The 17,981-nt window shown below is 37.2% G+C and overlaps 1 protein-coding gene across 35 annotated transcripts in view; it reads right to left on the bottom strand.

Annotated features, from left to right (window-relative positions):
- The window catches only part of STAG2 (STAG2 cohesin complex component), a 142,097-nt gene that overhangs the window by 6,580 nt on the left and 117,536 nt on the right, over positions 1 to 17,981 (bottom strand). For 19 of the 35 annotated variants that reach the window (XM_047441783.1, NM_001441077.1, NM_001375373.1 and 16 more), the window contains 6 exons: positions 14,549 to 14,697; positions 12,528 to 12,656; positions 9,307 to 9,530; positions 5,313 to 5,502; positions 1,933 to 2,059; positions 628 to 705 (listed from right to left, as the gene is read on the bottom strand). In XM_047441783.1, the coding sequence (XP_047297739.1) occupies positions 628 to 705; positions 1,933 to 2,059; positions 5,313 to 5,502; positions 9,307 to 9,530; positions 12,528 to 12,656; positions 14,549 to 14,697 (897 nt within the window). Of the gene's footprint in view, positions 1 to 627; positions 706 to 1,932; positions 2,060 to 5,112; positions 5,224 to 5,312; positions 5,503 to 9,306; positions 9,531 to 12,527; positions 12,657 to 14,548; positions 14,698 to 17,981 lie in introns of all 35 variants that reach the window. The other 16 variants (NM_001042749.2, NM_001375366.1, NM_001375367.1 and 13 more) reach the window with 1 other exon arrangement.

The raw sequence follows: 17,981 nt of genomic DNA, 5'->3' as shown, positions 1-17,981 counted from the left end.
GCTTAAAGGCTTTGCAACAGCCCATGTGAAAACTGAGGAGGACCCGAATCAAGGCACTGTCAAGGAGAATATGGCACAGGGGACTGATATAAGAGGTACTTAAGAAAAATAACTGACAAAACCCAATAATAACCAATTAAGGATGGTGGGAGTGGTAACTGACTCTCATCCTAGATAGCTAGATACCCTTCTCTTCATTATCAAAGCCTTTGTTCAAGTTCTCATTATTTTTCACCATGCCTTTATATGACGCCCCTCATTCATCCTGTCCCATCCATAAATGTCAAGGAAATCTTTCTGAAACACAATTCTGATCATGCCATTACCTTATTTAAAATCTTTCAATGGGCAACCCATTGAAGAACAGTACAAACCTGGAAGAACAGTCCAAATTCCTTAATATTCAAGTCCCAGTCAGCCAGGATTCAAAAGTACTTTTCTAATCTGTCAACACTATTGCAGCACTCTCTTCCCCTCCCACTGAAATCCTGCCTGCCTGCCTCTTTTTCTCACATCCAGCTGTTTTCATCTATTCTCAGTATGCTGCCCCAGGTCTTCAACCTCAAACTGAGAGACTGCCTATACTTCTGATTTTGCAATCCTAGGGTACATTTAAATTAAACCTACTGATTCATCCATAATTGAAGCTGGATCAAAGAAATCAGGCTTCAGTTCTGTTCTCTCTCGTCTGTTCTTTGATGGTGGCTAAAGGAAAAAAGGAAATAAGTTGACATTAGTTTAGCTATATCTACAAACCAGATAGTAACTGAAAATATCCAAGTTCTTCACATGGTCTATGTGATTCCAAGTGTACCTGACACAATATTTTAAAAACTCATGGAAAATTATCAGCCGGGTGCGGTGGCTCACGCCTGTAATCCCAGCACTTTGGGAGGCCGAGGCGGGTGGATCACGAGGTCAGGAGATCGAGACCATCCTGGCTAACACGGTGAAACCCGGCCTCTACTAAAAATACAAAAAATTATCCGGGCGTGGTTGCGGGCGCCTGCAGTCCCAGCTACTCGGGAGGCTGAGGGAGGAGAATGGCGTGAACCCAGGAGGTGGAGCTTGCAGTGAGCTGAGATTGTGCCACTGCACTGAAGTCTGGGCAACAGAGCAAGACTCCATCTCAAAAAAAAAACTCATGGAAAATTATCCTAAGAGACAAAAACCGGAAAACTCACTTTTCATTTTACTTTAAAAATCATATTCCTTTCGAGGCACCAAATTATACCATTCTAAAAATTTAATTATTTAAGAAGAATACACAATATACTAAAAAGAATCATAAGACTGGACTTATAAGTATCAACTTTACTGTTTGCTAGTTTTGCCTCTTTGGAGAGAGTAAGCTTCAATATCCTCAATCCTTTCAACCTACTTCACAAAGTTTAATGAGATATGTAGCAAGATGAAATATGTAAAACCATTTTGTATATGATCAACCCTAACCACATATTTAATTATTAATAAAGAATACACTCCTACCTGTATTTAATTTCCTTCCAAGTTTAAGTAATTTTACTTCATTATCTGATACGGAATTTGTCTCAACAAGTAGTATTAATATATTGTTTTGATAATGGTATACTTTTATACTAACTCATATTTTTTAAAATGCATAATTAAATAAAAATTGATTTTCATAGTCAAATTAGTATTAATCAAAATATACCCTTTAAACCTATATATTCCTAAATTAATCTCAGAAACAAACAGACAATTGTTATCATCTTAATCTAGGATCTACCACCTTCACCAACCTTACTCTCTTCTAAATCCCTTCCCATATATCTAAACCCCTGGCAACTATTTTAATATTTTTGCAAAACTTACTTCTCTTGGTAAGTATTTCTCTACTCTAATAAATATCCAACATAATTTTCAAAAGATCTAAACTGAAAATCTTACAGAAATCATTAAGTTTCTTACCAAATCTATATCCATGGTGTCAAAATCCATTCCCTCATTAAGATCCTCAATCCTCCCTTCTGAGGACATCATAACATCTTCCACAATTGGCTCTTCATCATCTTCCATTAGGCTTGTGCCACGCCGACTAGAGAAATATAAAACAAAGTCAAGATCTGAACTAATGTCGTGACTATTAATATCTAGGCAGCAGTATGTGGCTCTCTATATTCAAGTATAATGGAAAATGATGGAATTAAAGGTCAGGGAGAATGATTAGGCATTGATTATGTCATCAATGATATCAAAACCCAATGTTTACTTGTCTAAAAATGCTAAGGAGTTATGTTTATTCTACATTACTTCAGTACATTTAGCTTTATAGTTCTGATATCCCATATACAAGGTTCAATGAGAATTTCCCACATGGGAACATACAAGATACCTCAAATCCTTTTTGAAAGTAGGCAGGGTACAAATTAATAAACAAACATAAAACAGAGACCAAAAAAATGACATTTTCAGAAAACATATATTTTCATCAATATATAATGCTAATTTTACCCATCATCACTCCCTCATTCATTCAGTACCTAATGTGTACCAGGCATGCGCGCACTCACTCACACAATGCCTACTACGTGACAGGCTTCTACTGTGTCCTATGGATGTTAAAAAAAAAAAAAAAAAAAAGATGAATAAGACTAAGACATGATTCCTGCCCTCAAGGAGCTTACAGTCTACCATGGCAAACAGAGATAAACAATTAATTATGACAAAATGTGATAAATATTACAAGAAAACTATGCATCAAGTGTTATAAGGACATACTAAAATAAGGAATTAATTCTGCCTCAGGAAGAAATGAGGAACACTCATGCTGAAACTTCAGATTCGTGTGCCCTATGAAACTCAAAACTAAGACATATTTAGAAATTTAAAATGAAAAACTAAGACCAAAAGTTATATATGTTATTACATAATTATGGGGAATAAATTAAGTTCACAAATTAGCCCAGATCAGCATAAAGTAGCCAACATAATAGTGAAACTGAGTAGGACTTGTTTTTCCCTAGTTTGGCCAACATTACCTTCTTTTCTCATCCAAAGACACCCCCACAGTCAAGAAAGTTGCCAAAACCCCAGCAATTATTTACCGAATGCTTACAATTTACACAATACTATGCTGGTTCTTAAAAGATATAAAGATAACAAGATACGATCTCTGATCCATGTTACCTGGACAAATATGTTTATAATGGTCCTTACTTCCTAACAGTTCTGGGTAGAAAGACAATTTTACTATATTTTGTAGAGGCAACCGTGAAGGGAATATATGTGCTGTATGAACTATGTGACAGAAAATCAGAAAGCCGTTCTGCATTTTGTTTGAAGTACAAGGAAGATATATGTGATACAAGCTATGAAAAATAAAAAAGAAAATTTGGAAGTATTTTTAGTTATAGGGCAGATACCATTATAGAAAAATCATTGTAAGATGAAAATGCTTTAGAGTCCCATGCAATAGATGACTTATGGTACAACCACCAAAGAATCCTTTGGTAATAGTCATTTAACTGAGATAATTTCTTGTAGTTGCCGGGAGGCGGGGGAGTTAACTATAATTGGGAATTAAAATGGTACTAAGTAGTGACATGCTATATAGGATCTTAGGAACTGGTGTAATGTTTTATGGGGAGAGATATAGACCAAATGATTGCATGGCAGAATTCTGGAATATATGGACCGGCGACTACTTGGAAGCCAAGAAATCAGTTGTAGGATCCAGCATAAAATAAGAACTTATATTAAAAGGAATGTGGTCACAGAAACAGACAAAAGGGGATAGAACTATGTGACAATATAGATGATGACCATATTAACCAGGATCAGAATCTATACGTGTAATAGAGTATACCTTGTGTCTCTAGAGGTTAAGACCACTATGGAGATAACTAAAGTGAATTTATGCAGGCCACCACTCATAGTAAATGATCATTTTGTAAGAAAAACAGGTAAAATTCTTAACATCTAAAAACCAACAAGACAGAACAAAATATAAATTAAAAAAAGAAGAGGGTAACAACTACTATCTCCCAATAGTAAAACATATACCACATTATAAATACAATGCTTTCAAACTCAAAAACTTAATCATAATCATCACACTTTTCCCTGTATACCAATCAAGACATTTAAAAAAATTATCTAAAGACTGCTTGTCTGCCATGTTTTTTAGAGCCAAAGCTAATGAAGATTTTAGAAAGATTTATAAAGTTATCATACATAATCCAGTAAAAACAAAGTATTTAAAAGATAAACTTCATTTTTTTAGCATTGAACATTTATTCATTCAATGAACATTTACTTAGCACCTTTTACGTGCCAAGCACTGATAGGCAATGAATGTGGTCCCTGCCCTTGAGGAGCTCACAGTCTAGACAAACGGGACAAACTCATAAACAAATATTTACAATACAATGTGGCAAGTGCTATAAGAAATATGGATATACATAGTGTTATGGGAGCATAGATGACCAAAGCTTCAGTTAAAGTGACACCTGAGCTTGTTCTTTTATGATGATTTTACCAGCTGCCAGGGAATAGGAAATGATACTAAAACGTGGCAGGGGCCATATTTTGAAACATCTTGCATGCCATGAGCTAAGGAAGTTGGGAGTTTATCCAGCAGGCAATGGGGAGCCACAGAAAGGTTTTAAGTAAGAGTTACATGGTAAGATTTTTATTCTAGAATAGTAATTCTTGATGGTGGTGTGAATGATGGAGCGGGGGGTGAAGGGAGAGGTTTGGTGAGAAAATAAATGGGAGATTTGAGGGAAGAAAACCAGTTAGAAAGCTAATACAATAGTTCAGGTGAGAGATGAGGGCCTGAACTAAGTTGGGAAAATCAATTAGGATGTAACACAACTGTATTTTTAATGCTGTGTACCAAAATAAACAAGGATTGATATTTAAACTTTTCCAACAGATCAACCTAAGATTGGTCCTTTGGCTAACTAGGTAGTATTTTAATTAAAATATTTTGCTTTTCTGTTGGAAAGACCAATTTTTAGTTCCTTGATTATTTCAGCTTAGGTTACTCTAGAGAGTTTGCTGAAATTTTTAGATAAGGCACACATTAAAATGTTAAAATGAATTAGTGAACTTCCTAGACTCAGACAATAAGGCACTCTCACTTACATGGCATGCTGAAGATTAGTTCGCAGTTTAACATAGCTCATTGCTGCTCTCTCCTGCTGTTGCCTTGCTTCCTCTTGTTGTCTTTGAGCTAACATCCATGTTACCTGCGTGCTTCAAGGAGAATTTTATTCCTCTTTTAACTTAACTTTTTCTATGTAATTAATAAAGTTATAGTACAGAAAATGATCAAATGTACTTACTTATAATCAAGAGGTGTTTGATGATGTTCAGTCTGCATTGGATAAACACTCATGAAGCTATCCTCAGGCCGTAATCTTTTGGGCTCTCTCATAATAGTGGAGGTGAGTTGTGGTGTCTGCATCATAACAGGGGTGTGCAGTGTTTGTTCTCTGCTTAACCACATACTGTCACTACTACTACTTTCTTCAGCTGGAAAAGAAAATTAACGACGAGGTTTAGTCACTAATTTTGACTATTCAGATGTCTAATACAACCTGTTCAGGTCAATAAACATCTGTTGATTTCCACATGCAAGTCACAGGAACGGGGGACACAAACCTATGTAAGGGGCAGTCCCTGACCTGGCCTTAGAGTCTAGTTGCGACACAAAACAACCAGGCAATTAAAATACAGTGTGGTAAATGCAAGGAGAGAGGGAAGTATAAGGGGAATGGGGGCAGTGAAAGGGGTCAGAGCCAGCTATCCAGAAGCAACTTCTAACTAGAGTAGGTATCAGGTGGGCTAGAAAGGCTTTTTATTCTAGGCAGGGAGAAGAACATAAAGCAAGAACACTAAGGCAGGAAACAAGGACTAAACCTTTTTTTTTTTTTTTTTTTTTTTTTTGAGACAGAGTCTCGCTCTGTCACCCAGGCTGGAGTATAGTGGCGCAATCTCAGCTCACTGCAACCTCCACCTCCTGGGTTCAATCAATTCTCCTGCCTCAGCCTCCCAAGTAGCTTAGATTACAGGAATGCATTACCATGTCTGGCTAATTTTTATATTTTTAGTAGAGACAGGGTTTCAGCACGTTGGCTAGGCTGGTCTTGAATTCCTGGCCTCAAATGATCTGCCTGCCTTGGCCTCCTATAGTGCTGGGATTACAAGTGTGAGACATCGCACCCAGTCGACTGAACCCTATTAATCTGCTGATATTTGACCTACAAAAAGGGCAATTTCATATGGTTCAAAACTAACAGTTTGCTACTCCTGGGGCATAAAGATTGAAAGGGTAGCAAAAGACAAGGCTGGATAAAGAAGCAGGAATCAAACTGTGGAAAATCTTGTGAGCTCTTCTAAGGTAACAGGGAACTGCTGCTGAAGGTTTTAAGGTAGGGAAGCAATTTGGTGAGTTACATGTTTTAGTCAATGTGGTGGCAGTGTGGGGAGTGAACTTAAAAACAGAATACCGGTGAGCAAACAGACCAGTTAAAAGGCTAATTGTGTGGCCTAGGTGAGTGAGAAATGGCAACAGGGATGGAAGCAATAGGAGACTGGTTCCCAACCTATGGGATGCAGACCACTGAGCAGGTAGTAAGAGGCAACTGCAAGGGGGCCACAAATCTATACAAATATTAATTAAGCATTGGACTAAAAAGAAAAAAGGTTTCACACCTGCAAAAGCTACTTTTTTCAAATGTCTGTAAATGTTGCCATAATTAATAAGTCAAATTTGTGTACAATTGTTACTGAATTAATAGTAATTTTTAAAATCACTGACCTGGGAGAAAAAAATTGATAGCACTTTTTGATTGTGAATTTAGAAGAAAACTATTTCATTAGAAGATTATACATATGAGGCCAGGCGTAGTGGCTCACGCCTATAATCCCAGCACTTTGGGAGGCTGAGACAGGCGGATCACGAGGTCAGGAGTTCGAGCCTGGCAAAGATGGTGAAATCCCATCTTTACTAAAAATACAAAAATTAGCCAGGTGCGGTGGCGGGCGCTTGTAATCCCAGCTACTTGGGAGGCTGAGGCAAGAGAATTGCTTCAACCTGGGAGGTGGAGGTTGCAGTGAGCTCAGATCACACCACTGCACTCCAGCCTCAGCAACAGAGCAAGACTCCATCTCAAAAGAAAAAAAAAAAAAAAGGCCAGGCGCAGTGGCTCACACCTGTAATCCCAGCACTTTGGGAGGCCGAGGTGGGCAGATCACCTGAGGTTGGGAGTTCGAGACCAGCCTGACCAACATGGAGAAACCCTGTCTCTACTAAAAATACAAAATTAGCCAGGTGTGGTGGCGCATGCCTGTAATCCCAGCTACTTGGGAGGCTGAGGCAGGAGAATCGCTTGAACAAGGGAGGGGGAGGTTGCGGTGAGCCAACATCACACCATTGCACTCCAGCCTGGGCAAAAAGAGCAAAACTCCATCAAAAAAAAAAAAAAAAAAGATTATACATATTTGCAAATGTGTGTAAGGTTTTAAGGAATAAGAGTGGAAAGAAAATGCATGAATAGCTAATACTCTAATAATAGATTAAACATAAACTCCACATTTTGCAATATAATTACATCAGCCTTTAAGTTCTACTGCATTCAGGCTCCAATACTGTCTTCAAAATTGCATTGACTTGGCCAACCTATCAGTATTCATACTTCCTTCTGTTAACTTATTAATGCCCCAATTTCTATGATTCTCCCCAAAAACCTGAATGAGAGCATTGATTCTTCCTGTAAAAATTGACGTATCTGGTTTAATAATCTATTTGTAAAATGTGATATAAATACCAATTCATATGTGTTTCCATGAGGTCTAAAAAAAAAAGAGAGATTTCTGTAATATAAATACCCATTCATGTGTTTCCATGAGGTCTAAAAAAAAAGAGAGAGAGAGATTTGATGGCCCAGCACACACCTATAACTATTAACTACTAGTTCAGATGATAAAAACTTTCAAAAATTTAGTGATATGAGAAAACATCATCTTTCAATTTGATAACATTTTGTTTTTAAAAAACAGAAAAGTTTCTTTTAACTTATAAACCATCAGCCCTAACTACTTTAACTGGCCCAGGGTAATAAAAGAGATTTCCCCATCAACTGTGATGTTGGGACTATATAACTAACCAGTGTAAAATTGTACAAGTTAGAAATATAAGGTTATGCCTTTATACTACTGGACAAAAGATACTAAAATTCATAGGACAATCAAGTTTTAAACACTAAGCACTTGATCATAAATGAAAGCTGATGAGTTATGTGGCAATTTAAAAATATGGCCCCAAAATTCTTTGACGTTCCTCACATTAAGAGGTTAAGAATTATGTCCTCTCCCCTAGAATCTCTGTGATTGCTTGGCCAATAGAATATGGCAGAAATTACGCTATGCTAGTTTTTGGGCCCAGGCCTTAAGAAATTGGCACCTTCCACTTCTGGTCTTTCGGGACACTTGCTCTTGGAGCCTAGTGTTATGCTGACATGGAGAAGTCACACGTTGGTGTTCTGGCAGACAGTACAGCTGAGGTCCCAAATGACAGCCAGCATCAGATATGTAAGTGAAGATGCCTCCGTATGATTTCAGCCACCAGCCTTTGAGCCTTCCTGGCTGAGGTACCAGACACCATGATCCTGGCTATGTCCTAAGTTTTGAGGTAATTTGCTATTCAACAATAATAACTGGGACAAATTTTGACAACTATGCTAATTTAATAATTCCTAAGAAAAAGAAAAAAGTCCCCAGGCCCATTTTGAACCAACTCTGGAGTGCTAGGAGTCTAAGAGCTTCAAGCGTCATAATGCATTCCTACCTCTAATACGATAGCACTCTATTTCTATGAAGTTCTTCATGATTAATGGCCTCTTCATAGGAATTCAGAAGTTGCAACCTCTCTGAATCTGTTGTTCCACTTTAACTAGATGATCTGATCTCTTGGGTAATAACTAGCTCTATAATACTGAGTCCATTTCCCTATGCATACAGTGTAGCACAGATTTTAAAAAGCAGGCACTCTACAGTGAAACTGCATGGCTCTCCTACTTAATAACTGTGACATGAGTATGTTACTTAACCTCTCTGTGTTAAGTACTGTCATCTGAAAAATGAAGATGTACCCAAAAAGTTGTGAGAACTGAGTTTATGTATCTAAAATGCCTACAACAGCATGTTTACACATAATGAACACATTTTGTAAGCTATTATTGAACACATCTCAAATAAAAAATAAGGTGAACCTTAATGACAATTCAGTTGGTAAACATTAGGGATAAATATAAAGAGAATAAATTATATCCTTACTGAGTGAAAGCTGCATGCCCTCAACCACTTTCCGTTTTCCTGTAGATGGTTTTGATTTTTTACTCCGTACTGTTGACCCCCGGCTGCTGATTCCACTAATGACTGACATGGTGTCATCATCACCACCAGCTAGCAAAGAATTTCGGTAAGACATCAGTGGAAGCCACACATCCTCTCTTCGGAGTGACATCTGAAAGGTCATGAACTTTTCCAAGTAAACATACCTTGAAAAGAAATCGAAACTGTTAGCTTTGATACAGAAATCTGTGGGTTATATTAACTCATAGTTGTGCGAGCATAGGCATATTACTTCACTACTCAAACTCAGCCTTACAGGACATTAATGAACAATGTTGTCTCTGCCAAGATTTTCACATCAAATGAAATAATTCAGAGCACTCAGTTTAACATTTGCTGAGTACCTATTATGTCCCAGGCACTATGGATAGATACAAAGATGGATATGATATGATACCTACCTGCAAAAAAGTTTCAGCCTGATGGAAATCATAAATCTACCCTTGGATCCAAGTATCTCAAGGCTTATATGTAATTTTGCAATCAAAATTCAACTAACGTTCATGTGACGACTATGTGCTAGATATTTTTTTTTTCCTCAGGTTCCTTAACTATTCTTACAATTCTATGAGGGAAATGTTTTCCCAATTTTACAGGTGACGAAAGAAAGGATAATTGAAATTAAGAAGTAATCCCACAGTAATAAAAATGAGTAGGCAGCATAACTATGATTCAAGTCCAAGGCTCTGACACCAAGAGTTCTATAAGGCTAAATTATGCTTCAAATAAAGACAACTATTTGTCAATTAACTGTAAAGTGCAATTCAAATATTTGCTGTCATTGTAATGACTGATTTCTATCAATTCAGATTCACCAGTGTGAACAGCATTAAAGAGAATAGGAGAAATCAGTCACAAAGCATACTGCTTTGTTAGCTGTTCAGTGTGCCTTTCTCTTTTTTTTTTTTTTTTTTTTTTTGAGACACAGTCTCACTCTGTCATCGAGGCTGTAGTGCAGTGGTGCCATCTCGGCTCACTGCAACTCCGTCTCCCAGGTTCAAGCGATTCTCCTGCCTCGGCCTCCTGAGTAGCTGGGATTACAGGTGCACACTGCCATGCCTGGCTAATTTTTGCATCTTTTGTAGAGACAGGGTTTCACCATGTTGGCCAGATTGCTCTCGAACTCTCTGCCCGCCTTGACCTCCCAAAATGCTGGGATTACAGGTGTGAGCCGCGGCACCCGACTCCCAGTATGTCTTTCTGTATTACAATACACTTCAGTCATATATAGTAGTACAGTACTCCTCCAAGTGTGGCCTGTGAACTGGCTACCACTCCAAAAACTGTTAAGTCTGCAACAAGATACAAAACTTGAGCCAAAATATACTCACTGGCAGAGAGATTTACAATTATGTACCCACCACATACCTAAATAGGACATTACAGATAAGTAGCCCGCACTAAAGCTATCCCCATTTTGCTTCCTCCTCGTGCCCAGAGGTTACCACTACTTATCACCCCCATGCACATTTTGTACATTCAATACATAGTTGTCTGTAAACATCATAGTACAGTTTTGTACTTTGCTGTTTGTACTCAATGAAATCCAGCTATTTTTACTGTTGTATGGTATTCCATTATATATCAATCTATTGATCCATTTTCAGTTGATGGATGTTTAGGTTATTTTGAGTTTTTCCACTATTTCAAACAATCAAACAGCCATCATTCTTTTATCGGTCTCCTTGTGCATGTATTCAGGAGTTTCTGTGGGGTATCTACTTATGAATGAAATTACTGGATCATGAGGTAGAGAGAATCTTAAACTTTACTAGGCATTGCCAAAGAGCTCCACAAAATGGTCTTGTACTGTCACCAACAATGTATAAAAGGCTCTGCTGCCTCACATCCTTGGCAATACTTGACACTATCAGACTTCTTAATTTTTCCTAATGTGCTAGGTGAGAAATGGTATTTGTTTTAATTTTTATTTCTCTGATTAATACTGCTTATGCAATTTTAACTGGGATAAATTTATATACAATAGAACACACAAAACTAAGAGCACAGTTGTATCAGTTTTATAACTGAACATAGACCTGTGTGACCCACATACCTAACAAGATACAGAACTTGGCAGGGCACAGTGGTTCACGTCTGTAATCCCAGCACTTTGCGAGGCCAAGGTGGACAGATCACCTGAGGTCACGAGTTTGAGACTAGCCTGGCCAACATGGTGAAACCCTGTCTCTACTAAAAATACAAAATTAGCCGGGCATGGTGGTGCACGCCTGTAATCCCACCTACGCAGGAGGCTGAGGCAGGAGAATCACTTGAACCCAGGAGGCAGAGTTTGCAGTGGGCCGAGATGGTGCCTGAAGGACAGACCTAACTTCATTTCAAAAAAAAAAAAAGATACAGAACTCTAGTACCCTAGTGTTCCCATTCAAACTCTCCAACACTAGAAGTAACCGTTACTGTAATTTTTATCACCATACATTAGTTTTGCCTGCTTTAGAATTTCATATAAAATCTATAGTCTTTAAATGCAAAATACTAGTGAGTTTTCAGACAAGATTATTTACAATATGAGGTATCCATACGCTTCTGCCCTTTTACACCTCAAAGCCATGGCGAAAGGTAGAAGATTTTTGAGAATTTAAATCCATTTTGGGGGCTCTTTTATAAGTCACTATTATTGGAGACTAAACCAGAAAAGTGCCCTGTTTGAGAATTAAAGGATGTTCCTGATGGATTGCCTTTATTATTCTTTTTCAAATGCTCCCTCCTTAGTTGGGTTAAGGCACAAATGCAGATAATAACACAAAAAGCAGCCAGGCAGTGGTTCCTGCCTACAGTCCCAGCTACTCAGATTAAGGCAGGAAAATCACTGGAGCCCAGGAGTTCAAAGCCAGTCTGGGCAACATAGTGAGTCCAGTCTCTTAAATAATACATAAAGTATTCAAATTACGTGTCAAAAGCCAAAATTATACTGGAGGAAAACTCACAATATTAAAATAGAGTATTATGCATAAAACACAGTTATAATCCTTAAATTATAAAGTTGCTGAAGTATAAACTTTTTTGTGTATTAATGCAATCCTACAATTCTGTGTGAGTAGAAAGGAGAGAAACCAAGTATAAAAATTGCCCTTAAGAATCCCAAAATGAAATTAAATAGGACATTTCCAGCAAATACATACACTGTTCTTTTGTCTTGTCGAAGTAGTTTAGAAGAAAATTCACTCAGAATATCAAGAAATGCCAAATTTAAAGGTGGATGGCTCTCCCCTTGCGGATTAGGCTCTTTAAAAGCAAATTCTATGCCATCTCTGCAAAGGAAAACAAAAAATAATTGAAATAAATATTTGAGGGACTATAATAAAAAAGTCAATAACTTAGGAAATTTCACTCACTACTTCCTTTGCCAAGCTTTTAATTTGAGGAATAGAAAATAAGCAGGTTGTAAAGTGTGAGAATGTGCAGATATACTGACATTTTATGTCACTGTTACTTTCTTTAAAACAATACACACACACACACACAAACACACACACACGCCACTTAGCTTTCAGTCTGAATATGGTCTGGTATATCTACATTCTTTAATCAGTACTTTTTTCCATAGAAAATAATGTAAATTCTCTCACATAATGATCAATACATTATCTGTATTTTTCAAGACATAAAGGAGACCTACTCTAACATATAGAACGTTAAAAAATAATTCACAAACATTTGTAATAAACAATTCAAGAGTAAAATTAAACCCCATCTAAGGCCCATTTTAACTATATTTATGTGACGATAAATACCTCTATTCATCAAAATAACAACCCAACATTATAACTCTATCAAATATGTAACTGAGTAAAAAACAATCCAGATGGAATCAAGAAGGAAAAAAGGATATTACATGAAAAAAAGATATTATTTCTGAAAATAATATACAGGTAGTCCTTAAATATTATGTAAAATTACCATCTAATGGATGCATAAAAATAAACTTCAGTTTTAGAAGAAAGTGAAAGGAGAGAGTTAATTAAAGTTGAGGGAGGAAGCTGGGTGTGGTGGTTCACACCTATAATCCTAGTGCTTTTGGTGGCCTAAGTGGGAGGATCTCTTGAGGCCAGGGGTTCAAGACCAGCCTGGGCAACATGGTGAGACCCTGTCTCTACAAAAAACAAAATAATAATAATAATTAAGTTGAGGGAGTAGAAGCAAAACTTAAACAAGAGCAGCATATTTTCCTCAGAGAGACAGTTAGCACTTTTATAACTAAATGAGCAAGAGGATGAAGGAGAGTCCGAGAATCTAAAAGCAAGGTTCTTTAACCCACAGGTAACAGATAAAGGGTTTTAATACACAAATGTTGGTTATGTTAAAGGTCTAAAATGTACCCATACTTTAAAAGTGCAATTGATCACTAAATTACATGCCCAGTATAAAATAAAACGACTTCCAATTTTGATAAGGGCAACAAAATATGCAGATGGAAAGAAGGGTGTGGATCAAAACATGGGAAAAGGTCACTACAAAGTAAGAGTGCAGAACCAAAGAAAAAACTTGAGACAAAGGAATCAAACCTCAAAGATTTCTCTATCTGACAATGAGATCATGACAAAAGTTGATAAAAAAGATGTGTAATGCTTGAATTTATGCTGCTTTGATTCACATAATTTATAGACTTTGTATGGTTTAAATTTAAACAAAGGCTTATAAACGGAGTTTTAATCCTAACTCATTTTATTGTTGTTGTTGTTGAGACAGAGCCTCGCTCTGTCCCCCAGGCTGGAGTGCAGTGGCGCAATCTCAGCTCACTGCACCCTCTGCCTCCAAGGTTCGAGCCATTCTCATACCTGAGTTGCTGGGACTAGAGGTGCACACCCCCACTCCCAGCTAATTTTTCTATTTTTAGTAGAGACGGGTTTCACCATGTTGGCCAGGCTGTTCTCAAACTACTGGCCTCAAGTGATCCTCCTGCCTCAGCCTCCCAAAGTGCTGGGATTACAGGCATGAGCACCAAGCCTGGCCCAACTCATTTGTTAATTGAGATAGCACTGTAACTGGTTCTTTAAAATTAAGAAAGGAGATAGGGTAGAGATTTATAAGCTAATAATAAAGCATAAATTTAATTTAGTTATTCCAAATGAAAGGGCTAGATTTAAAAATAAAGTTTCATGACTAAAAAATATGAGAGCTGAATAAAATATCTGGAGATTACTTGTGTAGCATGGCAATGGCTTCTCTTGTTTTCAACTGATCAAGTCCAAAAGTTAAAGCAAAACGTCGAGCAAGTTCTTTTATGCCACTAAATGTAGAGGATGATCTATCAAAATTATAGCCATTTTCTTGTATCATTTCATTAAAAAGCTGTTTGGAAAGAAAGAAAGCATGTTAAAGTTCTTAATACCTGGAGATTAACATCTTTTAAAATATTACATTTTCATTTAAAATACAGGTGTTCAATAAATGAGGCACTGTATTTTATTGCAAAACACTAAAACATGATGCAAATGACCAAAAGTGCAGTACTTCGTATATTTAAACTGGAGGTTTTTATTAACATTAGAAACCCTTCAGGTTAGTTTTGGCAGAATGCTATCCTGCTGGTATTAATTGGATATTAACATAGCATATAAAAATATAAAGGGGAAAAAAAACCCCAGCAAATTATTAGGCAACCATGCTCTGTTATTTACGTTTAAGTGGTGAATCTTTACATCAAGAACTCTTAACATGAAATAGCAAAAGCTTAAGAATTTTAATCTTCTTTGACAAAGCAATTCTAATTATAGGACTTGAACCAAAAGAAATAATATTTATGCACAATAATATGTACAAAAAAGTTTTAGTGCTATTTGTAATAACAAAACTTGTAAAAAAACCTCAGCGTAAACAAGGAGACTTTGGTTAAATTGTGGTCTATCTATAAAATGGAATATTATATAGTCGTCAAAATGGATATGCTAATCATCCTGCTTTGGTTAACTATACACTGTGTCAAAACATCACTATGTACACCCCATAAATATGTACAATTATGTGTCAACTTTTTTTTTTTGGAGACAGAGTCTCGTTCTATCACCCAGGCTGGAGTGCAGTGGCATGATCTTGGCTCACTGCAACCTCCACCTCCCGGGTTCACGCCATTCTCCTGCCTCAGCCTCCCGAGTAGCTGCGATTAAAGGTGTGTGCCACCAAGCCCAGCTAATTTTTGTATTTGTAGTAGAGATGGGGTTTCACCATATTGGCCAGGCTGCTTTCGAACTCCTGACCTCGTGATCTGCCCGCCTCAGTCTCCCAAAGTGCTTGGATTACAGATGTGAGCCACCGCGCCCGGTCGTGTGTCAACTTTTTAAAAGGAGGAAGACTTCTGGGTATACACCCAGAGAAAATGAAATCCACATGTTGAGGAAATATCTGCACTCATAGAAGCAGAGAACAGAATGGTGGTTGCCAGGGACTGGGGGTTGGGGGAGGCTGAGACTTTGGTCAAAGGGAACAACGTTTCAGTAGGACAGGATAAGTAAGTTCTGAAGATCTATTGTACAGCATGGTGACCATAGTTAAGAGTAATGTACTGTACTGTTTATCTAAAAACTGCTAGAACAGTTGGTCTTAAATGTTCTTACCACAAGTAAGTATGTGATGTAATGTTTATGTTAATTAGCTAAATTTAATCATTTCACAATGCATACCTATCAAAACATCATGCTGTATACCGTTAAGTACACAGAATTCTTACTTTTCAATTATACCTTCACAAAAATCTAGAAAAAAAAATAAATGAACCTCTCCTGCTCCAAAAAAAAAAAAGATGCTGAGGAAATTATTTAATGGCATAAATGTGTTCAGTGTTTATTAATATTAAAATGCAGCCTTACAAAATGGAATGCACAATTTAATTTTGTTAAAAAATCAGATTTCATGTACGCATAAAAAAGAGTAACAAGGCCATCAAAAAACAAAAAGGTTATTGTGAAGTGAAAACATTAAGGATAATTTGCATTTGTTCCTTTTTATATTTTCTAAACAGTACAGCTAGCAGCTATTACTTTATAGCAAAAGTTATTTTTTAAATGCCATCTTTTCAACCTTTTAAATTTTATTTATTTTTCTTTCTTCATTTTCTGTAGAGATGGGCTCTTGCTATGTTGCCCAGGCTGGCCTCCAACTCCTGGGCTCAAGCAATTCTCAACCTTGGCCTCCCAAAGTGCTGGGATTACAGGCATCAGCCACTACACCCAGCCTACATTTTATTAATTTTAATAGAGAAAATTCAAATTCTCAAATAAAATTAAGAACATTCCTGGCTGGGTACGGTGGCTCACGCCTGTAATCCCAGCACTTTGGGAGGCCGAGGCAGGTGGATCACGAGGTCAGGAGATTGAGACCATCCTAGCTAACACGGTGAAACCCCGTCTCTACTAAAAATACAAAAAAATTAGCCGGGTGTGGTGGCGGGTGCCTGTAGTCCCAGCTACTTGGGAGGCTGAGGCAGGAGAATGGCGTGAACCTGGGAGGTGGAGCCTGCAGTGAGCCAAGATCACGCCACTGCACTCCAGCCTGGGCGACAGGGCGAGACTCCGTCTCAAAAGAAAAGGAAAAAAAAAAAAGGACATTCCTAAAAGAAAGTTCATTAAGTTGGAATGGGTTGGGTTGGGTTTTGCATGCAAATTTTGTCTCCAAAGACAAAAGTATACTAAGTCAGTAATTTTATCTAATTAAATGCCTCAACACTGCCAAAATGAAAACTATTGGTTTTTTTGTTTGTTTGTTTTGAGACAGAGTCTCACTCTGTCGCCCAGGCTGGAGTGCAGTGGCATGATCTTGGCTCATTGCAACCTCCACCTACGAGGTTCAAGCAATTCTCGTGCCTCAGCCTCCCAAGTGGCTGGGATTATAGGCTCACATCATCATGCCCAGCTAATTTTTGTATTTTTAGTAGAGACGGGGTTTCACCATGTTGGCCAGGCTGGTCTCGAATTCCTGATCTCAGGTGATCCACCCACCTCAGCCTCCCAAAGCACTGGGATTACAGGAATGAGCCACTGTGCCTGGCCAAAACTATTGTGTTTTAGTTATAAAATTAATATATGCTCACAAAAATAAGTTTGGAAATATACAGAGAAAAAAGTAGAATTCAACATGAAATCTACCAAAACAAGTTAACCACTGTTAATATATTTTGTGATTATGAAGCTCTTTATACATTAATGAATATAGATCTACACTAATTTTAAGTGTTGTACAACGGTCATCGCAGAAATGTACTATACAGTAAATTTATCTAATATCCTAATAGACTTTTAGATTATGTCTTACTTCCTATAAACAACATTGCAATATACAACTTTGTATATCAACTTTTGCAAACTTGTCTTATCACCTTGGATAAAAGAGTAGATTTAAAAAGTAGAATTGCTGCCTCAAATGGCATACACATTATAAATTTTTACATAAATTGCCAAATTGCCTACCATATCTATATTTCCTCCATACCTTAGATAGCTATAGGTTTTGCCAATCTTGACAGTTTGAAAGCAAAAAAATAATCTCACTTATACTTTCTTGTATTTCTACTTTTATAAATTGCCTATTGCACACTTTGCCCAATTTCAACTGCTACCTTATTTTGCTAACTATTAGGTGTT

This window comes from Homo sapiens, chromosome X (genome assembly GCF_000001405.40).
Source record: "Homo sapiens chromosome X, GRCh38.p14 Primary Assembly".
Taxonomy (NCBI): domain Eukaryota; kingdom Metazoa; phylum Chordata; class Mammalia; order Primates; family Hominidae; genus Homo; species Homo sapiens.
The sequence above is the reverse complement of the archived record's forward strand: the minus strand, read 5'-3'. Positions and strand labels throughout refer to the sequence as shown.